Source organism: Homo sapiens, chromosome 12 (genome assembly GCF_000001405.40).
Source record: "Homo sapiens chromosome 12, GRCh38.p14 Primary Assembly".
In the NCBI taxonomy this organism is placed as follows: domain Eukaryota; kingdom Metazoa; phylum Chordata; class Mammalia; order Primates; family Hominidae; genus Homo; species Homo sapiens.
The window spans coordinates 75,684,062-75,705,357 of record NC_000012.12 but is presented as its reverse complement, the minus strand read 5'-3'; the positions used below and the strand labels follow the sequence as shown (position 1 = coordinate 75,705,357).

At 36.9% G+C, this 21,296-nt stretch overlaps 1 long non-coding RNA gene and 2 pseudogenes across 4 annotated transcripts in view; all 3 read left to right on the top strand.

Annotated features, from left to right (window-relative positions):
* LOC105369844 (uncharacterized) overlaps positions 1 to 21,296 on the top strand; it is a 310,508-nt gene that overhangs the window by 129,411 nt on the left and 159,801 nt on the right. For 2 of the 4 annotated variants that reach the window (XR_007063376.1, XR_007063377.1), the window contains exons 2-4: positions 10,383 to 10,501; positions 10,588 to 12,455; positions 13,179 to 13,253. This is a non-coding gene — a long non-coding RNA (uncharacterized LOC105369844). The remainder of the gene's footprint in view (positions 1 to 10,382; positions 10,502 to 10,587; positions 12,456 to 13,178; positions 13,254 to 21,296) is intronic. The other 2 variants (XR_007063375.1, XR_007063374.1) reach the window with 2 other exon arrangements.
* On the top strand, positions 16,053 to 16,215 carry LOC124900321 (uncharacterized; annotated as a pseudogene).
* RPL10P13 (ribosomal protein L10 pseudogene 13) lies at positions 16,262 to 16,633 on the top strand (annotated as a pseudogene).

The window sequence follows — 21,296 nt, the reverse complement described above, 5'->3', positions numbered from 1 at the left end:
AAAAACACCATCAAAGTAGTAAAATACACTAATCCACTGTGTATTACATAAGGCATTTAAATTCCGATAATTCATGTCTGATGCAAGCAGTAAGAATATGAAATAGTACACATTTATCTCTTTTCTTCATGAAAACTGGGGCAAAAATAATAATATTCTAAAATAAAGGAGAATACCATTTAAAAATTCAAGCCTCACCTCTCACTCTACTCCCGTTGCCTGAAAACATGCAGAGCTCCCTTTGATAGTTTGATTTTGAATCTATTGACTTAAAAATATCTCCACTAGTTTTTCAGGCCAGTCATTCTTCATTCTAACAAAAGTAGACTTCATTTTTGTTTTCATTATCTTTTAGAGACATTGGATTGCTGAACAGTTTTGGGCCAAAATCCGTCGGCTGCATTTCTTTTAGCTTGCTGGCTAAGACTGTCCATAAGGAAGGATACTCACGCTTTGCTGACATTTCCTCCCTAGGTCTCTACATTGCGTCAATTGACTCGCCAGTGGTTAATAATGTGCACTCTGGAGTCAGATTACGTGGGTTGGAATCAGGCTCTACATCTTGCTAGCCTGGCAAATTTGAACTAATTATTCAAACTATCTGAGTCTCATTTCCCACCCCTATCCACCATAGGATTTTTGGGAAGGTCATATGAGATAATTCATGGCACAAATTAAAAACTCTATAAATAGTAAAATTTATTTACTATTATTACATATGAAATTACATATGAAATTAAGTATTTTTAACCTTGAGAGAGACGGAGAGAGTCAGATTACATAGATTTTCCAAAAAGTGCACCTGAATGGAACTTTGAACCTCCAGGCCAGCCTGCACAGGTGTTCAGAGCTATTCTGTGGACCTGTCAGTCATAGAGTTGTTGTTTTCTCTTGTTCTCTTGTCTTTCAAAGGACTAAGAGGAAGGCCTATTGTTATTCACGGAAGGATATTTATTGGCCAGAGTATATCTGACCATAGCCTCTTATGGAACAAAAAAAATCATTGTTTATTCATATTCTAACTTCCCCTCCAGGAAGTACAACAATGCAATAGACAACAACCTTTTTGTAAGGTGAGTTCAAGCTAGATAAACAGATAAACAGACAGAACTGTGCCGGCTTTTTTTCTTCCTTTCCACCATTCTTATGAATGTGTAATAAGATTGTTGGATCTGGAGTCCTGTTTCCCAGTGTAAATGCTCTCTGTATATTTGTAAAATTCACTCATGTCCCTTCTCAGTAAACCACTCACGATTACCCAGAAAAGTCTTCTGAGTGTTTTTCATTTTATATTAGTTTTCTAGAACTTCATATAAATTAAATAATGCAAGCAAACTATCGCAAGGACAAAAAACCAAACACTGCATGTTCTCACTCATAGGTGGGAATTGAACAGTGAGAACACTTGGACACAGGAAGGGGAACATCACACACCGGGGCCTGTTGTGGGGTCGGGGGAGTGGGGAGGGATAGCATTAGGAGATATACCTACTGCTAAATGATGAGTTAATGGGTGCAGCACACCAAAGTGGCACATGTATGCATATGTAACAAACCTGCACGTTGTGAACATGTACCCTAGAACTTAAAGTATAATAAAACAAACAAATAAATAAATAACTAAATTAATTAAATCATGCAGTAGATTTTTTTTACGTCTAGCCTTCTTCAGACTGTTGGGGGAATTTTGTGTCATGACTTATGCAGAGATACCAAATTTGTAAATTACTAGTATATCTTTCCTTCTTCCTCAAATGTCATTGCTAGATAGAACTACTACTGTTGAAAGACTGAAATATGTGCAAATGAGTACTCAGGATACATTCTCCAGTAGACAAAATGATTGATTACATTTTAGTTAGCTTTAGTTGAAGTGTATCTATAGTATGTTTTTAGGTAAAGTAGAGGTTAATAGACTTCTATGAAATAATTTAGGACTGTAATAGTAAGAGGCAGTGGCCTGTGTCTATAATATAGGGAATAGGGAGTGTCAGCTAATCCAGCATGCCTGGGAAGTGGTTAGAAAGGTCCTGTGCACAGTGGCACCCCTGCATATCAATTGAGTTGTGGAGTTGTTCTTTCTTACTGAGGGTTAGTTGATCTTGAGTTTGTTTTGAGTTTTTTCTCAAATGTGTAACATCAGGTATATTAGTATTTTAATTATACACTTTTAAAATTATATAAACTGGTGAACATAAGAGCAAAAAGAAAGTGGCTTATTGATTTTATATCAACTAAATTTAATGTTATGGACAGGCACAGTCAATTTAGTTGGCAAAACCTGTCCAATTAGTTATGAAAAAAGGCATGTTAAAGAGAAAAGCTGTATGGAAAAAGTTGTAACAGTCTAGAGTTTTGCACAATGATGGCTTTATATGTGTCTTTAAGTTTTCTTTCTACTTTAAAGGGAAAATGACTAGAAATGCATGGGGCGGTTTATGCAACAAAGATAAAATGAAACCCGAAGACTTACGATCAAAGAAAAGACCGTGGTTGGTGAATGAAAACGTTGGTGAATCTATGTTCATCTATATATGAGTTATTTTTAAACATTTTACTGCACAAAAATTTAAGCATACCTGAAGTAAAGGGGATGTAATAAATCTCCATACACCCATCACCCAGCTTCAATGATTTATCAACTTTCTGCCTTTTCTGTATTGTTTTCTATACATCTATCCCCACTCCCCTACTCAATTAATCTCACAACTTTTTTACAGTTTCTTCCTCCCTTCCTCCCCTCCCCTCCCCTCCATTCCCCTCCCCTCCCCTGCCCTCCCTCCCTTCCTCCCTCCCTTCCTTCCTTTCTCTTTTTTTTTTTTTTTTAGGTAAAGTTTATGTGCTTTGAAAGGTATGAGTCTTAGCTGTACAATTTTGACAAATGGATATACCTATGTAATGCACAACCTTATCACGACACTATAGAACATTTTCATCTTCCCATAAAATTCCCTCCTGCTTCTTCCCAGATAATCCCCCACCCCAGCTCCCCAGATGGGACCACTTTTCTGATTTTTCTTTTTCATTTTAAATTAGTTTTCTAGGACTTCATATAAATGAAGTCACATAATGGGTACCCTTGTGTCTGGCCTTTTTGCACAGCTTATTGTCTGTGAGATTCATCTAGTGTCATGCTAGAGCCAGCTCAGACTAGGTTGAGAGAGCCAACTGTGTGCATGTATTACCAAATTTGCGTGCAGTGACTTCAGTTTGGTAGCTTGAAATTGGCCATGGTGGGACTATTTACCTCATGGAAATTGGCAAATGCTACAAATCAGGGTTTCCCTACCCTAAAGAGCCAGTTGTCGGCACATCACTGTATTCATTCATGTGGTTGGGTGAATCAGTAGTGTAATCCTCTATATTACTGAGTAGCATTTCTTTGTATAGGTACACTACAAATTGTTCATTGATATATCATGTGGATTGTGTTGATGTACATTTGTGTTGTTTCCAGTTTGGGGCTATTATGAATAAAGTAATTATGAACATTCTTGTACTAGTGGACATATATTTTCATGTTGTTGCATGTAACATGTTAATTTTAATTGGTTTATGCTACTCTGTTGTATGAATAGTCTCAATTTATTTTATTTGTTCTAATATTTATAAAAATGTTGAAGTTCTCAACCTTGGGCAATTATGAATGGTGTTACTATGATCATTGTTGTATATGAATCATATGAATCTCAATGCATATTTACATACTTCTCTGCATCTATGAGTGAACTTGTTGGATCATAAGGAGATATATCTTTATCTTTAGTAGATAACACCAGAATATCTTCCAAACGTACTTATTTATACTCCCACTCAGAATGCATGAGTATTCTCATTTTACCATATCCTTCTTTACTTCACTTCTTAATTTGAGCCATTGCATGTGTGTACAGTTGTTGATCAACAAAAGGGAATAGCAGAAAGCGAATAACTGAGAAAACAGTACACAGATGGGCAGTTTTCCACAGGCCCATTACATCCTAGGGAAGCACATAGAAACAGGAAACAGGAAGGGCCAGACATCAAGCTCTGGAATGGTTACCTTGACACTTGAAACTTTTAAGCTACATGATTGGTGTTTTAGTTATCTATTCCTGCCCTAATAAATTACCCCAAAACTCAGTGACCTAAGTAAACAACCATTTTAAGCTTTCTTATGATTCTTAAGGCTGACTAGACTCAGTTGGATGGTTATTCTACCAGTCTCACTATTGTAATTTTAGATTAGACTTTTTTCCTTTGTAATTTTGTCAGTTATGCTTTATTTATTTTGAGGCAATGTCATTAGGTGCATAACAGTTTAGAATTGTTAAACATTCTTGGTCAGTTGTAGTTTTGAAACTGTTATTACTATGAAATGTGTCTTTTTATCTTTTATAATGCATTTTGCCTTAAAAGTCTATTTAATTAGTTTCCTAAATTTGTTTCCTTTGGTTGATGTTCTTTGGTTAATATTTTTTCATTCTTTTGTTTTATTTTTTCTTGCCCCCTCCCCATTCTTTTATTTATTTATTTCTATACTTTTGTTAAGATAACCTCATATATATAGAATATAGTTGCATTTTTTTAAGTCCACTGTAACAATCCATCTTTTAATTTGAACTTTAGTATTTATATTTAATATAATTCAGATCTGCTTGGATTTAAATCTACCATCTTATTATGGGCTTTTAGTTGTCCTGACTATTGTTTATTTCTTGTCCTCTCCTTTTGGATTAATACTTTTTATTTTTTCATTTTCCTCATCCATTAGTTTAGTATTTATATACTCTTACAGTGTCAACCTAGGGATTAGATATGTATCCTTGACATATCAAAGTCTAATACTAATTGTTACTTTTAACCTATCCCAGAAAATTTAATAATCTTAGAGCATTTTAACACCACTTACCACACCCCAAACTTAAATGCTACTTTTGTTATTACTTTATATGATTAATATTTGAATGCATTTACTCACAAATTCACTACTTTATTTGCTATTTCTTCTTATTCCTCTCCTCCTCCTTCCCCTCCTCCTACTCCTCCTCCTCTTCTTCTTCGTCTTCCTCATCTTCATCTTTTGCCTTTCATCTGGTTTCCTTTCCTTCCACATAAAAATGCCTTTGGATACTTCCTTTCCAGCAGTATTAACCTACTGATAATTAATTCTCTCACTCACTATTTATCCCCAAACGTTTTTATTTTACTTTATTAGAATTATAAATCGGCACTTATTTTCTACATTAGTCTGATCAGGCTGCCGTAACAAAATTCCACAGACTGAGTGACTTAAACAATAGAAAATTATTTTCTCATTGTTCTGAAACCTGAGAAGTCCAAGATCAAGTTGCTGGCCAATTCAGTTTCTGCTGAGAGCTCCCTTCCTGGCTTACAGATAGCTGCCTTCTCACTGTGACCTCACATGGCAGAGAGAGAGAGCTCCCGTATCTTTTCCTTTTCCTTTTCTTACAAGGGCACCAGCCCTATTGGATTGGGGCCCACGCTTATGATCTCATTTAACCATATTACCTTCTTACAGGCCTTACGTGCAAATACAGTCACACTAGAGGTTAAGGCTTCAACATATGAATTTCAGGGGGATACAAACATTCAGTGACAACATTTTCTTTTAGCACTTTAAATATTCATTATCGCTGGCTTTTATTTAACCTGCTTGGGTTTACAGGGTTTCTCAAATCTATGTCTAGAACATTCAGTTTTGGAATATTCTTAGCCATTATTCAAATATTACTCCTGCCACATATACTCCCTGCTTTCTTTCTGGGACTATAATTTACACATAGTTTAGAGCTTCTTATTCTGTTCTCTACATCTCTTATCCTTGCTTCTGTATTTTTTATCTTTTTCTCTCTTTGTACTACATTCTAGATTGTTTCTTTTGATTTTCGTGTCACTTCATGAATTCTCTCTTCAGTTGCATCTAAACTAGTATTAAACTCATCATTGAGTTCCTAATTTGTTAGCTGTATTTTTTATTTCTAGAAATTCTGTGTGTTCTTAAGAATGTACTATGTCTTTTTAAAATTGTTTTCAGTTCTGTCCTAATTGAAATTCTTAATTATACCTTTATAACCTTAATCATGGTCAGCATAGTTTAAGTCTGTGTTTGATAACGTCAGCATCTACAGGCCCTACAGGCCTTTTAATTATCCTGTTGTTTCTGTTGGTTCTCATTTATTGTATTTTGTCCTTTCACATGCATGGATGTTTTTTATTGTGAGGCAGACATTATACTTAAAAATTGCTTGTAGAAATTGAGGCCTAGTATAATATTTTTCTCTGGAGATTGTTTACTTTTGCTTCAACAGTTGCCTCTGTACACTAGTAATCTGATCACCTCAATTTAATTTCTGGGACTGAGAGAAACTGTACCTGTCGAGCTCTAAAGACAGTACATGGGATGAAAGAAGAAGAAAGCTTAGCTGTAGTTCCAGTGATGAACAACTTCTAGTTAACATTTACTCCTTGGATATAACTCTTCAGTGTCCTAACCCAAAGTGCATAAGATTTATCGGCACCTCTGTATTCTCAAGCAGGTCCTGGCCTCCAGCTTCTGTCTGCTTATTCCTGGGATGTTGTTAAGAGCACCACTCAGCCCCTCAGCCCCTAAGCAGCCTCTTCCAGTATTAGCCAGTGCCCCAGGAAAGAGTAAGCCTAAATCCTGACCTTGCCTCTATTGATTTCCCTCTTCTTCTGGATCATGGCCTGGTAATTACTCACTATTTTGCTGAGCCTCCAATGCCTTTAGAGCAGATTCTTATTTATATTATGTATAGGATTATATGAATTAAAGACTTTATAATTACTGTAATTGAAAGTCCAGAGTTCTTTTAGCATCCAACTGTGTATTACATGGTTGAAAAGGAAATACATGTCATTGAAAAGCTCATAAGATGTTTAGGGATACAAAACATGTGATATAGATTTAAGAGGAGGGTACATATATATGATCTCTAAAGCTAAAGAGGAAAGAAGTAGGGGTGAGCTGAATGACCTGGTTTATCTGTGTGACCATGGTCTTCTTTCATCCCATGTACAGTACTTGTCTGGGCTCATTCACTGGCCATGGCTTTAGCTCCCTGTTGCTAAATATGCAGTCTGACCACTTTATCTCCTTTGAGCTTGACCGGTACAAGCCTAGCTGCCTATTTAGCTATTACCACTAGGTTTGTACAGGTTCTTCAAGTGGAATATGTTTAAAACTATGCCCATTCTAGATTTTTCCTCCATTTAATGGTTTGTATTGTTTATTTTATCTGTGTAGCTCTATTCATGCTGCCCTATTAAAGTTAATTAAGTTTAATTATTTGTAAATTTTCTAAGCCATTTTTAAATGATTATATCCTCAAAGTGCTGAACACTTATGTGAACTATTTTACCTGAAGACTGGGTAAGAAATGTTTAATGATACTAAGGCACACTCCTTTTTAAACTATTCTGTGGGCTTCAATCTTGTTCAACTGTGTATGTCTGTTTTACACATAATTGTGGTAGAAATTTAATAATTTTATTATTTCATTTGGGGGTTATAATTTATTAAAATATTCTTATTGAGAATTCTGGAAATAATTTTAATAATAAATGACCACTTTTCTATTTTTTGAAATACCCATTTGATGAACTATATGCAATTATGAAATGCTAAGTAGTTGAAAAAATTTTAACAACTTGGCTAAATATCCTTGATTATAATGCTAAGTGAAAAAGGATAAAAATCTATGTCTACTATAATTATAGTGTTCTGTGTGTATGTGTGTGATTGTGTGTGTATGTTAATGGAAGAAAAGATGAAAAGAAATGTATCCAATTTTTATGACCGATTTTTTTCTGGGTGGTGAGACTTTGGAGATTTATTGTCATGTTTTCCAAATTTCTACAACTGAATATATCTTAATTAACTTAAAAAGTACAATAATAATACAAGCCTATTGTAGAAAAGTGTGGAAGTACATAATGTAAAAGGTGATAGTCCCTCATTCCCTTCCCTTTTTTATTCAGTCTTATTATCTTGAGATAATCACTATTATAAATGTTGGGCATCTATTTCCAGGCCTTTATTTCTGTCCATGTGTATGTGTGTGTGTGTAGGTAGGTATATGTATGTTTATCTTTCTGGCAGAACAAGTGTTTAATTCTTAAATTTACTTGAAAATGAGGATATATGCCTCCCTTTTGAATTCAGAGATTAGTTGGGAATACTGTAAAATGCTTGGCACAGTTATTTCACTTGGACCAAAAAGTAAAGAAAGAAAAAGCTGAGGGGTGAGCCTGAAGAGCAGATAATTCTATAATGAATTTTATTGGTTATTCACCAATGTATTCCAGGGTACAATCTGCACGTTGGATGTAGAGCAAAATGGATTTAAATTACAGGCTGAAACCCATAATTAGATAAACTAATCAGTTCATGAATATTAGCATTACAAATAAAATAGATAATAGCAGAATATGTCATATGTATTGGGATAATTATTGTGTGTCAAACATTTATTCAGTTATATTTATACATGTGTATGTTTTTATTAGATCATGATGTAAAATGTGCATCATGTGCTGACTGTGAAAATCAATTCTTGTTCGTGGAATATGTGTGTGAATCCACATGTGCATGTACATATGTGTGTGTATAAAACCCATTGGAGTTCAATGGTAATACACTAGATGATGCAGAAAAATAAGTAGGGACTTGGAGTGTGAATTAAGTCTACAGAAGACAGGACTTGAGAATAGAATAAAATGAAGACTGAAGCACATAGATTGTATGTGAATTACACTTTATTGCATTTACCTTAAAAGAGATGGAGATAGCGTTCAACAAAAATGACAAGGTAGCATTAATTAGCAGATGCTCCATGACAACAGCTTATCAAGTTTCCTCTGGTTCCCTCAAAGAAGGCATGCTTGATCTTTGGCTAATGTCCTCAGCCTCATGAGGACCTGCAATGCTGTAGGAAGTACCAATCATGATCTTGAACTTTTTGGACCTCAATCATGCCACCCTAAAATTTCAGAATAATTACTGAAATGATTGCAAAAACTTGCTTGGCAAACCTTGTCACCTAAATCTAACATTCAAATTTTGCTTTCAGTTTCTTACTCCATCACTGGTGCCACGTTGTGTCATTAGCCTCAAGTTATATAGTTGTAAATAGGCAATAAGCACATTCTTACTACACTATTTTTAATCTGTATGGCGAAAGGTCTGAAAGCATGGTAAACATGGCTATACCACACTTCAGAGGCTAAGCCCCACCTTGGACCGAAGTCTTCCACTCATTCTCCTCGTATTCTAGTCAGCATAGCTCAAAGTTCAGAAATGTACTGCTGAGGATGTTGTGTTCTATGGATTATCTAGTAGGAGAGGGAGATGTATTCCAACACTCCTGTCTGGGAAAGAAATGGAGTTTCCTGAGAATGATGAGGAATTATATATGTGGAGGAACAGAGGAATGACAGAATTGGCGCTGTATTCAAAGTTTCATAGACCCATATTCCTTTTCCTAAATGTATTCACTGGGCCCTCTATTTTGTTAGGCTAACTTCTGCAGTGTTAGATCTGCAATCTCCTGTGCTTCCTTCTCCTTTCTCCTTGCTCATAATTTGTCTTTGTTCCCTCTCCTTCATTCAATTCCAAACACACATCAATAAGGAAGGCTTTGTAAAGCAGGAGTCACTGAGGTTAGTGCAGATCGTTGACTACGTTATTGCGTGTTCAGCTACGTAAAAACATGCTTGGATAGCTTGGGTGGGGGTGGGGGGCGGTGTGGTGTTCCAACAGAGCTTTAATTTCATAAAGGGTCAAGGAACCACTGCTGAAAAGTAGTTATCCTAACAGAGGAGATTGTCGGGGATCTGAAGTCTGGCCAAAGAACATGGGACTGTGTCAAGTGTAGAGGCCATCTTTAGTTCAGCAGAAGTTTTGTCACTTAGCCATCCTTTAGCCTTTGGCCACACATAATGTATATGAAACACTGGCAAATATTTTTTTGCAGGACTCCTGTCTATAAAAGCAATTCTTTAAAAAATGTATTGGAAAATGTATGGGCTCATGTGAGGCGTAGTGATTTATCTTGATTGGTGAAGATCTAGAGAAGCACTTAGGTGTTTGCATATTGTCCAGTCACTGCACAAGAAGATTCCTTGCAGTGTTAAGGCATTGTCTCTTCCTGTTCAAATCCAGGAACTCTCTCTTTATAGTCTTTGTAGTCCACTTCTTGTCAATTTTATATCTCCCACTGTGAGAAAAATGTAGCAGTGCTGTGATGACTCACTCGGCCATGACTCTTCAGGACTCAATTGTATAGAAACAGTATAGATCTTGTTTCTGCAATTCTCTAATACAACTTATTTGATATTGATTACCTCATTACTCATGACAGTGTATCATCTTTCTTGCTGCCCTTGAAGAGTGGTGTCCAGTGAATCTTTCAAAGAATGATACTGAGCTTCATTGTTGATGAACAAAAATGCAAATCTCACCCAGAGCATGCAGGAACATGTGAGCAATAATTCATTTACTCATCATGTTAAATTTATCATTCAGAAAACAGATCTTCACACCATGTCTTCTCTTGACCTTTGTAGGCTATAATCACTACACTCCTAGAATGTGATCTCTTTCAATATTGACTGCATCCATGCCTTCCACACACTTGCACCAGTTGGGAGGATGGAGATGTCATCTGGGCAGAGGGAGAAGAGCAGTACCATTCAGAGGTCTGTCCCTCTTAAGATATATTCTCTCTGTCAACCTAGGTGAGTATTTTAAGTCTCCAACATGATATCACTAAATGCAGAGTTAGGAAGAAATACATGCAATCTTGCAAGTTAGTATAAGCAGATTCAGTACACCACTGACTATTTGTGTTACCTAAAAATTACCTGAAAAATGCCGTGGCCTGCCCAAGTTTTTATCCAGGGGACAGAGGAAGGACAATCCCCCAAATATTGAATAAATATAAAGACAGCAGAACAAAACAGAACGGCTTTCTAATTTCTTACAGACCATAGTTGTTCAACATAATACTTACACATTTGAAAAAAGAAGATTGTTTTATTGGAGTGCCTTAAGATGTTTTCAACATATGGATTTTACAGCAGGGCAGTTCAAGAGGCATGAGGAATGTTTCTTTTCTCTATTTGTTGGAGCACTGGAGTGTGAGCTGAAGCAGCCTAATCCTGACTTGCAGAAATGGAGAGGACATGACTTACCGGAATTGTTCATGGAATTGGTTTGGCTAATTCTCATTGATTCTGCCATTTCTCCAGAAGCCATTACTACAGCTGTTGAAACAGGGGTAGAGAAAAATGACAGGTGCTAAGTGGTATCTAGGAGGTTAATAATGAGCATATTTAAAATAATCTCTAGGACTTCTGGAATTTTCTAGGAGGAATCTTAAGAAATGCTCTAGATTTTGTAACAGCTAATAAAGGAGATATTATAATGCTGATGGTGACAGTGGTGACCCTGATCTACCCTGGAAAACTTGGCTTTTATTGTTTATTCTGTCGTATCTCATCGTTAATTCCTATTTTTTATTCTTTACTTTAAAAATTGTTTTTATTTTAGCTACACAATTAGTTACACTTTTTTTATTCTTGGGACCTATAACATTCAATGAACGTCTTAGAAAGGTGATGGTAATGTCTAGACCAAACAAAAGAAGAATAGGAAACTGTTCAGGTAAGTAAAAAAGATAGTCTGTCCTCTTTTAGAGTTTTTGTGCTCAGAGGTGAAGTTTTCCCCTCACATACCTAATAAAAACTATAATTTGCATTATAAACTCCCTGCTACTTAGGTTCCTAAGGGGTGGACCATCTTGACCTTTTAATTATTAATGCTTTTCCTCAAATTACAATTATTTGAGGAATAATTACAATCCCTGTCCTGCTAACTGGCAATTTTCTAATAGAGTTTTCATTTCTCCATATTTCATTAATTGCAACTTGTGTATCATATAATGATAGAATCTTCAGAACAGCACCTTGTTAACTGGAAAGGTTATGAAATGCTAATGAGCTCTTTTAAATGGCTAACTCCCTGTAAGACTCTCCAGATTCTTTCTTTTCTTTAATGTTTCTTATATTTTTAGACATTCTTCCTTGTAAAGTATTCTTCAAGATTATTTTAAATATTCTTGAAAAGAAATTAACATATTTGATGGCCTTCTGTATGTTGAACCTGCTCACATAATTACTGTGTTTATTTCTTTCAACAAGCCCTGTGAGTAAGGCATTCCTGCTCCTCTGCAGTAAAGGGAAACAAGGATAAAAAAACAATGTTATTGGCTCAAGGTCAATGGTGGAGCAACGATTTAAGTTCAAATTTTCCATCTTCAAATCTTGTGTTCTTTCTTTTGTAGAACTCAAAGGGCTGTGTGAAAAGTTTACTGTGGAAAAAGAAATTGAAAAAACTGCCACTAAGTAGCAATGGAAGGACTTTTCCCGCTAAGGTGCCATTATTATCTGTCTTCATCATTATTGTCTTATTTCACTTCTCTTCATTACTCTACTTACTTCTTGCCTTTATTCCTTTAATCAGACCGAACATTGTTTATTTTCTTCTTTTTCTAATTTGTCAACTAATATGCTGAAATTATGTAAGAATCATTCAATTATACACATAAAATGATCTATAATGGTCCAATTTACCAGTTCCCTTTCTATCTTCACTGGGTTTTACACAATTTGAATTTAAGCATAATGGAAACACCACTTGTGAATGGCTTTTGTGTCATGTTTAATTTTTCCAAAGAATTGCTCAAGATGCCCCTTCTACTGTTCAGCAGAGTATTCTGTAGCTTTTTATTAAAACTCCATTGCACTCCTTCCCCAAATTGTCCACGGATTCTGAGGTTTGCTGAATTCTGAGAGGTTAGACCCGTTTACAAATGGAAGGTGAAATGAGAACTGAAGTCTAATCTGGCTACTAGTGGCCATTGCATCTGCCTCTGTCCCAGTATTGTTGTTTTAGGCTGTTTCCACAAATCAGATGGCACTACTTCTCCAGATTCTGAATGTTCTACATCTGGGCACAAGATTACCGTTCTTTCATTGTACCATCTCAGGCTCAGTCATTGTTACTTAAGCAGGCCACCATGTTGCGGGACTGGTGGGGATGAGCTTGCAGGCTCAGTTGTCAGTGTGAGAACTTTCCCTTTCCTATGACCTTCCAGATGAGGAACTGCTCAGATCACCAGCTGCTTCAGGTTACCAGCCCACACCTGTCTGTCTCACCTCTGACAACCTTGGTAAGTTTTTCTGCCACTGGGACTGATTATTAGAGTTTCTATAAATAGGCATGGTACAACATCTCAGAATATTGACAATAACAATTATTTTTCAAGATTTTTATTAAAGGTGCTAATTATTTCACATTACTTGTTATAATTTTAGGAAGTAGTTATTAAAATTATGTTTTTAATTTCCCGGTCATCTGTCATCAAGCAAGTAGTTATAATTTAAAGGCATGAAAGTTTCTTCTAGCTTAGGTGTCATACCTTGGTCATACCTTTTAGCATATTTAGGTTTATGATCTTCATCTGTGAAATGAAGGAATTGGATTAAAATAGCACAATCTAGTTTAGGTTCGTTTTCTGGCATATATCCCTTCTACAGTAAAAATCATCTCATCATCTTATGTGTTGCATAATAAATAATTTAAAATTTATGAAAAGGCCAAGATGTTATTACAGATCATATTCTTAGTAGTATTACCGACAGTCCCATTTCCTTAGGATAGGCCTGGATTTTATATATTCTCCTGGGATGATGATTATTAGTAGCCCTTTCCATTCTCAAAACTGTTCTAGTTTGGATGATAAATTACATGGTTGTCTTAATTGATTGTTTAAATATAATCTTAATAATTATTATATAAAATACATTTTAACGTTTTCCCACTTAACAAGTAACATTTGCTATCAATTTTTTAAAATTTTATTTAAAATTTTTTTTTAGTTTTAAAAAATTGAAAGATCTGAAATGTAAAATGATTTCTATAATATTTAGTTGGGGACCAAATATATATTAAAATATAGATATAAATGTAACTACTTGTGGCGACATCAACAAAACTGCTTATTTTATGTTTGGATTTCTTGGATTTTACTTTTAAAAACACAAGTGTTTTATTGAAATAATTTTTATATTTTTGTTCCTAAAATATGGGTTCAGAGAAAAGATTTCAGTTGTCATTTTCCTAGCCTATGCTCAAATAAAACATTTTGTTATGGATAATATTTAATCCCATTAGACAAAAAACCCAAATTCCATATTATTGGCAAAATAGTTTCCCTTTCAACATTCTAAAAGTAGAACTAGAGAGAGCGTGATGTGCTATATAAATATTTTGATTAGTTCAATGCAACTGGTAGGTTTGGTTAAAGAAACTCTTAAGGGAATTTATAGAATTATCTCTTTTATGTTTCGTATAAATTTGTATTTCAACATCAGTGTTCTTTTGCTTCCTGTCTTTAACCAATGATCCACCACAGATATAAATTAAACAATGAATAAGAACAAAAACAATTTAAAACTGCGTAATGGTCCAAACCACCATGGATGGTGTTCTGACGATGATACACGGGGTGAGGTCTGACTCATGAGCCGCTGTCCGTGATGACTTGACATTCTCAAAAGGAAATCCCGAATGTTCTCACTGCATGCTGCTGCAGGCCCTCATGGCAGGGCATCCACACCACTGGCTCAGGTGCTGGTTGCTCCAGAATCTCTCTTCAGCTGGCCTTTTTCTACTGAACTGTCTGTGAGAACATCACTGCAGGCACGGTTTTCTCCAACCATAATTGCTGCTGCCAAAGCCACCTCGGACTTGGGAAAGGGTAAACAACTCCACTAGACATGTGCACTCCAGCAGTTGGGCGTCTCCTTTTTCTTTAATTTCTCTTAGTAAAGGAGAGGCCAGGAACTACATTTAATCATTTTCAGATTTTTAGGATTTGGAGCATTTTAAAACATATTGTTTGAGGATAATAGAAGGGAAGTGCAACTTATACAAAACATCTGAAAATTGCCGCCTCTGTTCCAAATCCTTTGGGGGTTCCTCATCAGGCAGGTGCTTGCTTTATTCTTGATTATAGGGGCAACTCACCCCATGCCCAGTCACTAGCACTGGCTGTTACAGTATTGAGGCTTCATTGCTCATTAAGATGAGTCCCTCACCTAGAAAAGGGAGAGGTTCTCTTTGTCTTCGGTAACTGACATATATTTCCCAAGCCCTCCTTTCTTGTCTCAGGATTTACTTCCTTGTGGGATAATTGATAATAGGAACATCAATTTTATTTTAGGGAAACTTTACTTCCACCCATTGCAGTATATAAAGATCCTGTGGCTGTACTATGTTCATTGGTTTCCCATTGTCAGAGTAGTGTGGTTTTAAACACCACTTTTGAGATGCTAAAAATTCAGTCCCAATGGGACTTGTTCAAATTCAGTTCAGTTTCTGGTCATCAAAAAATCAATCTGTTTTAAGATCTAGTCTTACCCATGAAAACTTTAATAATGGTAGATATCTAAAACATGAGTTAATTACCCCCAAAATGTTTCAGTTTTTTCATTGTTATATTGCCAAAAACCATTCTGGCTATATATATTTTTAAAAGAAGCCATTTGCATGTCCTTTAGTGGTAGAATAGAAATTTGGTTAAAATTGGATGACATTTACTTTAATTATCTTCAAAGTATGATGAATTTTTCATGTGTGGAATGTGTGGTCTGATAATTTTTTAGGAAACAACACTCCACTAGAGAGCGTAGAATCTTAGAATTCATCTACTTCATTCTCCTCCTGGTACTCTACTTTCTTCTACAACGTCCCAGCCGAGCTGAGGTCTGAGCTGTGCTGCTCAAGGCTGTCCCATGTGAATACAGATGCGGAGACCCTGTAAGGGTAACAGAGGAAGCTGTGAACCCAGGGGAAGAAGATAAACTTGTGGACATATGTGCAAGGAGCAATTTTAAGTATATTGCACTAACCAACTCATGATCTGTAACTCCTTTGTTAAGGAAAAGAATGTATATCTACGTCAAACTTCCATTTCAGAAAGCCGAGGTCAAAATAATGAGTCCTGGGGAATTCAAACTTGTGTTAAGAAAATGTGTCCCAGTGTGCAATGGCTGCAAACAGCAGCTTCCTTGGTAGTGTATGCAGCCTGTTTGTTGTACGGGTTGCTCTAAAGGGCCTTGGAGACAGTCCTTTCAGATGGATGTACATGTTTTTGACCTTGCACTACCCCAGTGTAGGCTCCAAACAGGCATGCGAGGTGCCTTTGGAAAGCCCCGGGGCACTGTGGCCAGTTGGCCAAGTTATCATCTCCATCCGCACCAAGCTGCAGAACAAGGAGCACGTGATTGAGGCCCTGGGCAGGGCCAAGTTCAAGTTTCCTGGCTGCCAGAAGATCCACATCTCAAAGAAGTGGGGCTTCACCAAGTTCAATGCCAATGAATTTGAAGACATGGTGGCTGAGAAGCGGCTCATCCCAGATGGCTGTGGGGTCAAGTACCTTCCCAGTTGTGGCCCTCTAGAGAAGTGGTGGGCCCTGCACTCATGAGGGCTTTCACTGTGCTTCCCCCTCTTAATACTCACCAATAAATTCTACTTCCTGTCCACCTAAAAAAAAAAAAAAAGAAAAAGAATGCTTTAACTTCAATTACCCCTCTCTCTTATGTACGTTTAGTCTGTTATTTTAGTTTTATCCTGATTCCCTCGCATAAACATTATTATTATATTAAAAAAAAGAAAAGAAAAGAAAATGTGTAGAGCCGGGCACGGTGGCTCATGCCTGTAATCCTAGCACTTTGGGAGGCTGAGGTAGGCGGATCACAAGGTCAAGAGATCCAGACCATCCTGGCCAATATGGTGAAACCCCGTCTCTACTAAAAATACAAAAATTAGCCGGACGTGGTGGTGCATGCCTGTAATCCCAGCTACTCAGGAGGCTGAGGCAGGAGAATTGCTTGAACCTGGGAGACGGAGATGCAGTGAGCCAAGATCATGCCACTACACTCCAGCCTGGGCAACAGAGTGAGACTCCACCTCAAAAACAACAACAACAATGACAACAACCCCAAAAACAAACATGAATAAATATCATTCTCCAATAAAATCATTCATGCCAGTTAGGGAACCAGTTAGGAGGTTGTTACTGGAAACCAGGTGAAAGAGATTTTATTGGAGAATGATATTTATTCATGTTTTCCCTAATGAACCCTTTAACTTTACTCCAGTTACCCTTAAGATTGAGTTCAAGCCCTTGGTATGGCTGACAACACTCAGTGAGATACGGCCCTGGTCTCCTAATCCAATCCCATCTTTTTCCTCTGTCCCCTCTTTCACCAACTTCTTTCAGTTCTTTGAACAGGAAACCCTTTGTTTTTACTCCTTTACATCAGTTGCTCCCTTAAAAACTCTTCCTCATTCCCTACTCTGCCCTGTTTTAGGTTTCAGCTTAGAGTAATTTTCTCCAGGAGGTTTCCCGCTGGCCTCCCCAATGGGAGTTAGTGGCGGTCAAAGCATGCTGTTCTCATCACAGCCCTTAGAGCACTGTATTGCAAAAGCCATTTCAGTTGTCTACGTCTTCTGCTAGATTGGGGGTTTCTTGGTCTTTCTTGTTTACCATTGTATCCCCGCAGCTAGCATAGTTCTAGCTTGGGATTAGGTGCTCAATAAGAACCTGATGAATGGCCAGACAGATGAATGAAAGAAGGTTTTCCTTTTCTGACAAGAGAAGGTGGTGAATGGAATAGTTGGGAAAAAATGTAGTGGCTAAAAATAAAGCAAATAAACTTTTTCTTACCTTTGACCAGCTATATTTTTCTTAAAATAGGGAAAAAACCAAAAACAAAACACTGAGAAAAGTGTTTGCTGATTGGTTAGTTTTAAATTTTTCCACCAATGAAATATTACTGCTATGTGCCTGTTGCTTCTGTTTTCTTTTCTATTAATATCATGGGCTTTTTTTTTTTCACAAAGGAATTTGTTATAAAAGGACATTATTCAAGGTATCACTGTATAGAACCTGACATTTGTAAATGGTAACATTCAGTGAATATAATCACTTAAACTCCAGAGTAGATAATATACATATATATTGAAACCTAGAGGCCTGGGGTTTGGTCTTGTTTGTATCATTATCTGTGTAACTAGCATTAGGACATTAAACTTTCTATGTTTCATTGCATTTAAGTAAATGCATCATCTTCAAAATGAACTGATGCCTTTTCTGATATCTCACATGTGAAGATATAATGAAATGACTCATATAACAATACTGTAAGCTACTCTGTAAAACATAGGTACCAAGAAGTGTGATAGGAAGGGTAACGGCCCAGAAGCTAGGTTGCCAGTAGCTAGTCCCATTCATACTGATAATTATCTACTTTTTCTCTATTGTCTTCTTATCAAACAAAATAAAACATAAGATAAGAAGGTTACACAGAATGTTGTTTTGAGATTCCTTTTAGACTTTATCTTTTAAAATTATTATTATTATACTTTAAGTTTTGGGATACATGTGCAGTACGTGCAGGTTTGTTAGATAGGCATACACATGCCATGGTGGTTTGATGCACCCATCAACCCGTCACCTACATTAGGTATTTCTCTTAATGCTATCCCTCCCCTAGCTCCCCACCCCATGACAGGCCCTGGTGTGTGATGTTCCCCTCCCTGTGTCCATGTGTTCTCATTGTTCAACTTCCGCTTATGAGTGAGAACATGCAGTGTTTGGTTTTCTGTTCTTGTGTTAGTTTGCTGAGAATGATGGTTTCCAGCTTCATCCATGTCCCTGCAAAGGACATGAACTCATCCTTTTTTATGATGCATAGTATTCCATGGTATATATGTTCCACATTTTGTTTATGCAGTCTATCATTGATAGGCATTTGCGCTGGTTCCAAGTCTTTGCTATTGTGAACAGTGCTGCAATAAACACATGTGCATGTGTCTTTACAGTACAATGATTTATAATCCTTTGGGTATGTGCCCAGTAATGGGATTGCTGGGTCAAATGGTATTTCTGGTTCTAGATCCTTGGGGAATTGCCACACTGTCTTCCACAATGGTTGAACTAATTTACACTCCTACCAACAGTGTAAAAGCATTCCTATTTTTCCACACCCTCTCCAGCATCTGTTGTTTCCTGACTTTTTAATGATCACCATTCTAACTGGTGTGAGATGGTATCTCATTATGGTTTTGATTTGCATTTCTCTAATGACCAGTGATGACAGCCTTTATCATTCTAGGAAATGAAATGAGTACTATATTCTGTACATAATCCTATTAAATTTCTTAAAGAATTTGTTGCCATTTAATCCATCCTTGCGTTTCATGGGTTGCTGTAGTTCAGTGGCTGTTGTAGGGAATTTGTCTCCCTTCTTTTTCTATCCCAGTTATTTTGTGATTTTTTCCAGATGTGCATGTTCTCCATTGATATATCTATGCATTGTCTTAGAAAGTTTAAAATCTACCCAGGAATCTATACTAGCTAAAAGCTCTTTGAGTGTCCCTTCACAGCTATACAAGATGTTTTTAGTAATTGTGTTCTGTAGAGCTCAGCAGCTGTTATGTTACCCGAGTATTTTTTTTTCTTTCTTGGCTTTTAAGTTGATGTTTGGAAGTCTATTCCCAAGTGCTCAGCCTAAAGGAGAGACAGTTTTCTGTTCCCCCTGCTAATGCTAAACACACAAATAAACAAAACAGAACAAAACAAAATTCCAATTAAACAGTCTGGGAGATTCTAGTTGAATGGTGGATATTAGCATCTTTCAAAGCTAGACCACCTGTGCCTAGACAATTTGTGGCTTTCTATTCTTATGTAATACAAGGAATAGATGTCTGGCAAAACAAAAAAGAATTTAGAAAGTAGGGATGAAACATGATTCCTTTTCAGGGAGGAAAATCACTTCATTCAAGTACCAGCTTAGTTTCATTGCTGCATTTGAACCTCCAAGGAGAGAAATGTGGAGCAGTTGATCCACAGTTGTACCTTCCATTGTTGGTTTATTAAATGGGCTCTTTTGTGCGTGTGTGCAATTTCATTCAGACCGTTAATCACTACTTGGAGTATTCTTAGCTTTCTACAAATTGACAAACATAGCTGTAGGGAAATCTATGTGGAAATTCTGTTTTTCAGAGGTTTGGCAGTTTCTCTTTAATGAGTCCTCAGGGTATCTCAGGTTTCACTAATTTGTGTTTAATTAGATTGGAAAAATTCGGGCAGTAAGCGACAAGAACCTTCTGCCCCATAAGTTGGAGAAAACCATCACTCAGGCACTCAACAAAACCCCTTCCAAATACATGATGTAATACATTCACTCCAGAACAGGGTATGAGCCCTAAAGGATGATTCAGACATAGAAACAAAAGTTGCTGTTAGAAGATAAAAAGAATTATCAGTGGATGTGTTTTTGCTTGCCGCTTTGACATTGCTGTGGCAGGCAAGAGCAAAGGAAGAAATGATGCCCTGAGCTGATGAAAACAAATTCCAGAAGCATTTATGACCAAGTTGTGGTTAGAGGAACAGAATGAAACATAATTTTTCAAAGTTTCCAGAAGGGCTTGTGCATGCTGAAACATAACCAGAAACAATATAACATGCTACAGGAGGAATCAGTGATAAAAGTGACATTCCCCACATAGACCTAGTTATTTACAAAGAGCTGTAAGAACGAAGGGCTCTGAAGCCTTTAAGATGAACAATGTTGTAACAGGAAAGGGGTCCTGATTCAGACCGCCAGAGAGGGTTCTTGGATGTTGCATAAGAAAGAATTCAGGGAGAGCCCATAGAGTAAAGTGAAAGCAAGTTTATTAAGAAAGTAGAGGAATAAAAGAATGGCTACTCCATAGACAGAACAGCCCCGAGGGCTGCTGGGTGCCCATTTTTATGGTTATTTCTGGATGATATGATAAACAAGGGGTGGATTATTCATGCCTCCCCTTTTTAGACCATATAGGGTAACTTCCTGTCATTGCCATGGCATTTGTAAGCTGTCATGGCACTGGTGGGAGTGTAGCAGTGAGGACAACCAGAGGTCACTCTCGTGGCCATCTTGGTTTTGGTGGGTTTTGGCTGGCTTCTTTACTGCAAACTGTTTTATCAGCAACGTCTTTATGACCTATATCTTGTGCTGACCTCCTAACTCATCCTATGACTTAGAATGCCTTAACCTTCTGGGAACGCAGCCCAGTAGGCCTCAGCCTTATTTTACACAGCTCCTATTCCAGATGGAGTTGCTCTGGTTCACATGCCTCTGACAATGTCATATATAGAGTC